At 39.7% G+C, this 9,328-nt stretch overlaps 1 protein-coding gene across 16 annotated transcripts in view, besides 1 other annotated feature; it reads right to left on the minus strand.

Annotated features, from left to right (window-relative positions):
- The window catches only part of SPART (spartin), a 68,543-nt gene that overhangs the window by 35,431 nt on the left and 23,784 nt on the right, over positions 1 to 9,328 (minus strand). For 3 of the 16 annotated variants that reach the window (XR_007063671.1, NM_015087.5, XM_024449334.2), the window contains exon 1: positions 9,157 to 9,326. The exons of 4 other annotated variants lie outside the window; for them this stretch is intronic. The gene's annotated coding sequence lies outside the window, so the exon portion shown is untranslated. Of the gene's footprint in view, positions 1 to 8,111; positions 8,507 to 8,732; positions 9,066 to 9,156; positions 9,327 to 9,328 lie in introns of those variants that run through there. 9 more of the 16 variants (XM_011535012.3, NM_001142296.2, XM_005266313.6 and 6 more) reach the window with 6 other exon arrangements.
- Positions 9,175 to 9,224: a silencer, noted in NCBI's record as "silent region_5263". NCBI's record gives its function as "represses an Ori minimal core promoter by ATAC-STARR-seq in GM12878 lymphoblastoid cells {active_cell/tissue: GM12878}" and the evidence as "EXISTENCE:reporter gene assay evidence [ECO:0000049][PMID:35858748]".

Genomic DNA, 9,328 nt, shown 5'->3' on the forward strand with positions numbered 1-9,328 from the left:
GATGACTACAAGGGTGTACAGTGGTCCCCACTTATGTATAGTTTCATTTTCTGTGGTTTCAGTTACCTGCAGTCAACTATGATCTGAAAATATTAATATTAAATGGAAAATTACAGAGATAAATAATTCATAAATTTTAAATTGCACATTCTCAGTATCATGATTAAATCTCCTCTTGTCTCTCTCTGTGCCCCCTGGGGCATGAATCATCCTTTTGTCCAGGGCATCCATGCTGTCTATGCTCCCCTCCCATGATCACTTAGTAGCTGATATGGTTTGGCGATGTCCCCACCCAGATCTCACCTTGAACTGTAATACCCATAATCCCCAGGTGTCAAGAGAGGGACCCCGTGGGAGATGACTGGATCATGGGGGCAGTTTGCCCCATGCTGTTCTCCTGATAGTGAGTTCTCACAACATCTGATGGTTTTATAAGGCAGTTTTTCCAGCTTTTGCTAGCTCTCTCTTTCCTGCCATCATGTGAAGAAGGTCTTTGCTTCCCCTTCATCTTCCGCCATGACTGTAAGTTTCCTGAGGCCTCCCCAGCCACGCAGAACTGAGTCAATTAAACCTCTTTTCTTTATAAAGTACCCAGTCTTGGGCAGTTCTTTACAGCAGTGTGAAAACGGACTAATACAGTAGCCATCTTGGTTATCAGATCAACTGTTCCGATATTGTGGTGGTTGGATTCAACTAATTCTTTTTACTTAATAATGGCCCCAAAGTGCAACAGTAGTGATGCTGGCAATTTTGATACACTGAAAAGCTGTGAAGTGCTTCCTTCAAGTGAAAAGGTTAAAGTTTTCAACTTAACAAGAAAAAAAATCATATGCTGAGGTTGCTAAGATCTACCATTAATAACATATTTTCTATTCCTGAAATTGTGAAGAAGGAAAAAGAAATTAGTGCCAGTTTTGCTGTTGTCCCTCAAACTGCAAAACTTATGGTCAAAGCATGTGACAAGTGTTTAGTTAAGATGGAAAAGGCTGAGATATGAACAGAAACATGTTCCAATTGAAAGCAATTGGGTGCCACACTATCCATGGTTTCAGGCATCCACTAGGGGTCTTGCAACTTATCTCCCTTGGATAAGGGGTTAGGGGGGACTACTGTATATATACATAAAAATCATTAAACTATACATTTAAGATCAGGGTACTATATGCATTTTATGTGATTCCTCAATAAAACAGATAAATAATAAAGCCATAACTCACAAGGACAAATAGGGAAGATGAAAAGTCAACAGTACTTGGTGTCAAAAAAGGAGGCAGACAAGTGAAAACTCCCAAAACACACTTGAGAAAACAGATGCTTTAAACTGTCAGTGGGAAAATCAGAGACGCAGCTGCACTTACGTCACATCAAGAACCTCCAAAGGCATAAGAATTGATGGAATTCAATCTTCCTATGGAAAGGAAGTAGACAAAGAGCTGAAAAAAGAGGACTGGTTGAAAGCCTATTTACAAATTAGCACCCTCAGATCTTTCCTACACCAAGCAATCAGGACGCTGTTTCTCTACAGCCCTGAAAGACTGAGTGCTTTGATCTAGAAGAGTGTAAAATAAAGTGAGGATAAGAAACTATCAGGCATGATTAAGGGTAAAAACCAAAAGCAGGGGGATTAAGTGAAATGTTACACATTGATTATTGAGACCCACAGCCTTCTTCCCCACAACTTGGTAATTAGAGTTTTGGCTGCCAGGTACCCCTCAAGAAAGGAGATTGGAAGTTATCTTCTTGAGGAATCTGATCATCACCAAGAAGAAAGACACAAAGAATAGTGACAGTGAGAGTTCCCTAAGGAAAACTGTCCAAGCAATTCACCGTTCAGAAGCCATAGTTGATAGGTTCCACCCATAGAATCTCAGATCAGCTTTCTAGTGCTTCACTCACACGCACACACTCACACACAGACACACACACAGCCCAGGATCACAAAACATGAGGCAAACATCCAGTATAAAGGATTAAAAGAAGAGCAATGTAATTTGGTTGAAATGGACAATGTGCAGGAAACGTAAAAAAAAAAACCCTATCATTTATATCAACATAAAGAAAAAGAAAATATCGCATCCATAAAATAAAAAGTGGGATGCGTGCATACTGAAAGAAGGATATTCGAGTGACAAAAGGAACTCCGGGAAATTAAATATTTAAAACGCAGGAAGGAAAAACTCAAGAAGGATGAGGTCATACAATTATAGAAAATGCCCAGAAAGCAGAGCAAAAAGACAGAGATGAAAAATAGGCAATAATAAATAAGAAAATTAGGACCCAGTCTATAAGGCATATCATTTGAATAATAAAACTTCTAGAAATATGTGAGGCTGAGGCGGGCAGATCACCTGAGGTCAGGAGCTCGAGACCAGCCTGACCAATATGGTGAAACCCCGTCTAAAAATACAAAAAAATTTCCAGGGCATCATGGCATGCACCTGTACCCCAGCTACTCAGGAAGCTGAGACAGGAGAATTGCTTGAACCCGGAAGGCAGAGGTTGCACTGAGCCGAGATCATGCCACTGCACTCCAGCCTGTTCACAGAGCACGACTCCATCAAAAAAAAAAAAAAAAAAAAAAAAACCAACCAACAAACAAAAAACCTCCTAGAAATAGAGAACAGAGAAAAAATAAGGGATGAAAGAATTAAAGAAATAATTCATAGAATTTCCTAGAATTGGAAAACATGAATTTCCTAATTTAAAAAGACCAACAGGTTGGGCACAGTGGCTGACACCTGTAATCCCAGCACTTTAGGAGACTGAGACAGGAGGATCGCTTGAGTCCAGGAGTTTGAGATCAGCCTGGGCAACATAGTGAGACCAGCTCTACAAAGAAAACATCAAAAAATTAGCCAGACATGCTGGCGCGTGCCTGTAGTTCCAGCTACTCAGGAAGTGAGGCAGGAGAATCACTTGAGTGCAGGAATTCAAGGCTGCAGTGAGCTATGATCACACCACTGTACTCCAGCCTGGGTTGAAAGAGCAAGACCCCATCTCTAACAAATAAAAGTAAATAAAAAAACCAATGGGCAAAAAATAAGAAAAAAAGGGGAGGCTGAGGTGGGCAGATCACAAGGTCAGGAGATCGAGACCACCCTGGCTAACAAGGTGAAACCCTGTCTCTACTAAAAATACAAAAATATTAGCCAGGCGTGGTGGCAGGCGCCTGTAGTCCCAGCTACTCAGGAGGCTGAGACAGGAGAATTGCTTGAACCCGGGAGGCGGACCTTGCAGTGAGCCGAGATCACACCACTGCACTCCAGCCTGGGCGACAGAGCAAGACTCTGTTTCAAAAAAATAAAAATAAATAAATAAATAAGAAAAAAAGATTTCACACCAAGAAACATACCATGACATTTTAGAACACTAAGCTCAAAAGGATCATCTTTAAAATACTTACACACAAAAAAAGAGAGAGAAGTAAGAGTGCTAAGGAACTTCTTAAAGGCAACAATAGAAGAAGGAAATTATACATTTAATTCATAATTCTGAGTAAAAATAGCTTCTAAACCCAGCCAAGTGATTGCTCAGTTATTACATCTTCTGTTTGCTGGGTACCATGTTTGATGAAAGGAATCCCAAGACTGATGATGAGTTTCCAAGATAACAATTAGGCAAACACTCCAGGGTGGAGTAGGAGACAACAGAAAAGAATTTTTTAAGAAAGTAAAACTGATAGAATACCTAATGTGATTGTAAGCTCTGAAAAAAGATCTACACAACTGTGAGAGTATTCAGGGTTCCATTAGTAATAATTAAAAACTAAGGATTAACTCTAGGGAAAATGATGTTGAGCAAGAAATAAAAAGTAATCATAATGTACTAAATGTTTCAGTTTTGATTGGTGTCATAATATACACAATGAATCTCAATATAAACAAAATTATGGTACAACCATATTGAAAGATGGGAAGATGGATGGATAAAAAGTTTATGTGCATGCGACAAAGGATGAAAGAGATAAAACTTCATCTTTCTCACTGAGAAGTTAATGGACAGTGCCTAAAACTGAAAAAGTGCCAATATATTCGCACTGTTTAGAGTACAAAAAAGACCAAAAGAATTGGGTAAGAAAAATGATACAAGCTGACTTTGGGAGGAAGGGGTAAGATTTTTCTTAAATCTATGTGTATGATAGAAAATTTAATTACTATTAAAAAAGTAAATGGAAGCTTTAGAGCAACTATGTCAAACAGAACTGTAATGCAAGCCACATATGTAATTTATACTTTTCTAATAACATTAAAAAGGTAAAAAACAGGTGAAGTTAATTTCAATGATAGTATCTTATTTATCCAAATATATCAAAAATATTATTTCAATATGCAGTTAATATAAAAACTTTCAGTTAAATATTTTAGCTTTCTTTTTTTTGGTATGAAGTCTTCAAAACTCAGTATGTGTTTTACACTGAAAAGATAGTTCAATTCCAACTAACCCCATTGCAAGTGCTCAATATCCACATGTACCTAGTGGCTACTGTCATTAGATGTGGCAATTCTTTTCCTGTGATCTCATGAAAACTTACGATAGAAGAATTTCACTGATATGAAACTATTTTAGCAGCAATCTACACTATGAAAGCACAGAAGCATCACAGAAAGCATTCATTAAAATTGGTCTAGCTTCCGATTAATAATATAACTATACTTTCTAACCTGAAGTGCCACTAGTCAGCCTTATTATGCAACAACTTCATGGTAGTCAACAGAATATATTCAGTACCCAATTTAGAAAATACCATATACAATTGACCATATACAGACCCACGTATTTGCTCTACCCCACAACCCCTATCAATATTAACAATCTCTTCTCCTGGAATACTATCCTGTTGTGTCATAAGATTGCCACATCTTTCCAAAGAAACCACAAGACAGGCATTTTGTATTTTATCTTCCTCAGGATACAAGGAGGCCCAGACTAAGGCAGCAGAAAGACAGCAGAGGTTAAATAGGCATCTGTGAGTTGATTGGGAGCTTCACCAGCATCATTAAATTTGTCCAAATGACTTGAACAGGGTCTTGAACAACACTGTGACTTGGCACCCACTTTTGTGCTACATACGATAGGACACCACTATCCCCACGCATCATTTAGAGTACTTAACATATGCTGGACAGTATGCTAGGTGTTTATCTCAATCCTTACAAACAATTCTTGATGCAATATTACTATTAGTACTACTTTGCAGAGAAGAAAATTGAAGTTTGCAAGCATTAATTGCCTTAGATCACCTGTTTTCTGAAAGACCCTGGAATTAAGAATTACTTTTACATTTTTTAAAGGTTATAAAAACAAAGAAGAATGTGCAACAGAGATCATACATGGCCCCAAAAGCCTAAAATATTTACTATCTGGCACTTAACAAAAAAAGTTTACTGACCCTGCACTAGTTTACAGAATTAAATAGTCTGATTCCAAAACAAATCCTCTAAATCAGGGTTTCTCAGTCTTGGCATGGTTGACATTTTGGGTTGGATAATGCTTTGTTAGCAGCATCCCTGATCTCTGTCCACTGGATGCCCATAGCAGCACCACCCCTCATCCCGGTTGTGACAACCAAAAACGTCTCCAGACATTGCCAAATGTACTTTGGGCAGCAAAATCGTCCCCCACTGAGAATTACCACTCTAAATGGTCTTCAAACTGGGGGATGTGTGCCCCCCAGGACAAATGAAGTCTTCCATGGGACATACACCAACGACATGTGTAATTTTAAGAAAAAGGCTTCCAGATCCTTTACTCCCATGAGTACTTCTCACTAAACTGATCTGCCTGAGAATATGCCCATTGTCCAGTTATCATGCTGATTTTTATTCCCCAAGATCCTTTCACAATCTTCCACTTTACAAAATAAAGGCATACTTCTCACCCACTCCTATTCTTACTATGGTACACTGCCCCAGGATGGAAAAGCCTCCCTACCAACAAACAATAAGTCGAAGGGCTCAAAGACCCTCCTTTAATTTAGGCACAACTCCCACTATCCATTCCATTAGGACACAGATTTCCAGTAAACTTCTACTCTTAATAATTATTATTCATTAAAATCCATCAAGTTTTTAAGCTATTCTAATCAACTATTTATAATAACTCAACCCAAAAGAAAAATTACAACTTACAGAATTAGTTATAGGAAATTTTTAAACTTAGCTTCAATTTATATAACTATTGTTATTAAAGCCATGTATCACAGAGATTAATAAAAAGCTTTCAAGCATAAAAATGCATTACCTTAAGATAATATTCTGTGGGGTGGGGGTGATAAAAAAGTAAAATTTTTTAAAAAAGGAAGTGTGTAAAATATAATGTATTTTAAAAATTGATGGTGATGGATATAAAACTACAAAGATATGATACCCCACTGAATACAGGTGAAAGAATGATGTACCAATATTAAAATGTTAATATCAATACCATGTGGGAAACTGCATTCTTTTCAACTAACGCATGATGTAAAATGCTGTAAGTTAACCAAAAGTGTGCAAGAGGGACAGTTTTACAAAAATTATTTGGGGGTTCACAAGCAAATTAAAAGTACTGCTTTAAAAATCACTCACAACTATAATATATAGCAAAGATATAATGGACATGGTCTGTCTCTGGCCCTCAGAAGCACCAAAATTTACTATCTTTTGTTAAGCTCTCTATATGTGTCTGGCACCCTTCTAAGGTTATCCAATCCTCACTCTTGGAGGTTGATATCTGATTTTAAAAATGTTTTACAAATATTGAGCAGCTTGCCCAAGAAGAGAGCTAGTAAATGATACATTCAAATCAGTTCATGGATCAGAAGATTATCTGTCAAGAAAATTAAATGAGCTCTCGCCTGTAATCCCAGCTACTGCACAGGCTGAGGCCGGAGGATCGCTTGGGCCCAGAAGTTCAAGGTTGCAGTGAGCTATGACTGCACCACTGCACTCCAACCAGCCTGGGTGACAGAGCAAGACCTTGTCTCTTTAAAAAAAAAAAAAAAAGAAAGAAAGAAAAGAAAAATGAAAATGAAAATTAGATGAGATGTGTTTGATTCCAAATCTAAAAGTCCTACTATGTTTACAAGTCAGCAGAGTGAGGGAGGGGTGAAGAAAACCCAGAGTGTCCCGTCGTAGAAAGTCATGTGGCTTAAATCTTCAATAGGTAGCATTTGAAAGTAGAAGCGAGGCATAATGAAGGAATATAGCTAGAAGCAATATTTACCTTGGGTATACGTTTATTTCTAAGCTTATTTTACATACGGTGTGATGAAAGATTTCCTAATAATGTGTCAATGGAGGGAACAAGATGGCTACTGAGAAAGAAGAGTGTGCCTGTGTGTAGGGGTGGAGTGGGAGGGCTAATTCCACAGGATTGCTTAATAACCTTCCTTGCTACATCTCCATCTTAAAGAGAAAAAAAGGATACACGAGAGAAGAGCCTGGGTATCTAGAGGTTATATATAAGTCTAATGGTCAATTTCAGTCTAATCTCTGGGGAATCTCAACACAGAAAGAAAAAGGTTTATATTAAAATATCACATTTTTATTTTGTGACTGGGATTTGCTATATCCTCAGCGGTCTCAGAAAATACATTTTACAGAAATAAGGATTGGAGGATGGTGACTTAAAAAAAAGCCTATTCTATTCCTAAGCACAATTAAGTGTCAATCAAGTGTCCTGAAAAGATAAAAACCATTATCACATTATTTCACATTATTTAATTTTCAAAGTTAAGAAGACAAAGTCTTTGAAATGACAATCTGATGTATTAAACAGTACCTACACCAGTGTACAGTCTTCAACAACAAACCAAAATCTGTTCCGATACCAGTAGTTCACCTAAATTCTAATTTTTTAACGTTCTAATAAAACACATTTATTTCAACATAACTACATGTATGTCTGTGTATGTCTTAAAAAATACCCGAGAAAAGGTAAAATTCTGCATTAAAATACCTAGCAATTTAGTTCGATTCCATAAACACTGAAAGAAGTAACACTCTCACTTAACAGTCAACATTACAAGCAGTCTTTAATAATACCGCATTTAACTCCTTAGAGCTAGCACAAGTTGATCTAATGCCTATTTGGCCCTTTACCAAAAAAGCGGAGGGGGCTTTGTCTAACACCTGTATACACCTCCCTCCGTAGCATCCCGCTCATTCTAGCTTCTTAGGGAAACCATAGACAACGACGTTTCAGAGAGTGCCAGAGGTGAAGCCGACCCGAAACCACATTACAGAAAGGCTTCCTGTTTCAAACAGGTCCAATAAAGCCACCAAATTAAGTCTACGATTATAAAGAACTGCGAATCAGAAAATAATTCCATATAGGTGCAGTCTTCTATTACTTTTTTCCCCACTTTCGGAAATTTCAAAGAAAAATTGCTACATTCTTAAATATGAGGCCATTATTTCAAAGGCTGTAACAACCTGGAACGCAAATTCGTTAAATTATGATACAATAAGGCCAACCTCGAGGATCCTCGGTGGACTACTAGCGCACTTCCTTACAATTAGAAAGTGAAAAACTGGGTCAGCCCTAGAGTCACGCAATAATGCTGCGTCACGAAACTGCGCATTCCAAGAGAAACTTTTCTCAGGCCCAGAATTAAGTCGGAGGGATCCGCCGCGCAGCTCAATCCCTAGGAAGCATGAAAGAATGTATTGTAAAGAGTAAAATCACGCGCAATCCATCCCAATATAACCGCAGTTGTTCGTGGGCCTTCTTGCAGAGAAAGGCTGCCCAACCTTGACGGGGCCATGGGCGCTGCGGGAGGGCAAAAGACCACAGAGATCTGCGAAGCCAAAGTAAACAACGGGGTTGGGGCGGCGAGAATGATCAATAGCGATGCTCCGAAAGGACTCCGCGATAGGAATCGAGCGGGAAGGATTCCCTCCATCCTAACAGTCCATGGGTTAAGAGGCCGAAGCTTCCCTAAATACCACACTCCCGCGAGAGAAGGGACTGAGAACAACTTCTCAAACTATTCTCTCTCGAAATCGCTCCCTTCCTCGAAAATTCCATCTCTGAGACTCGGATGAGGTCCCCACCCCCTCCACCCTTGTCCCGTGACCGTCGCCCGCTCAGCCTCCCAGCCGAGTCCGCGGGGCCTGGGGCGCCCACCCCGCCCACCCAAGGGACCGCGCAGGGGTGAACTCCCCCGCGCCCCACCTGCGCCTTCCAGACCTCGGGCGCCCCGGCGTTGCCTCGAGAGCTCCCTGCGCGGCCGCCGCGGCACGGACCAGCTCCCACTCCCTTACACTGGGCGCCGCTGCGCTCGCCGGGGGCCGGTCCCGAGGTTCCCAAGGCCTCGCGCGCGCGCTTGCCGTGGCAACCAAGACGT

Source organism: Homo sapiens, chromosome 13, assembly GCF_000001405.40.
Source record: "Homo sapiens chromosome 13, GRCh38.p14 Primary Assembly".
Taxonomy (NCBI): Eukaryota; Metazoa; Chordata; class Mammalia; order Primates; family Hominidae; genus Homo; species Homo sapiens.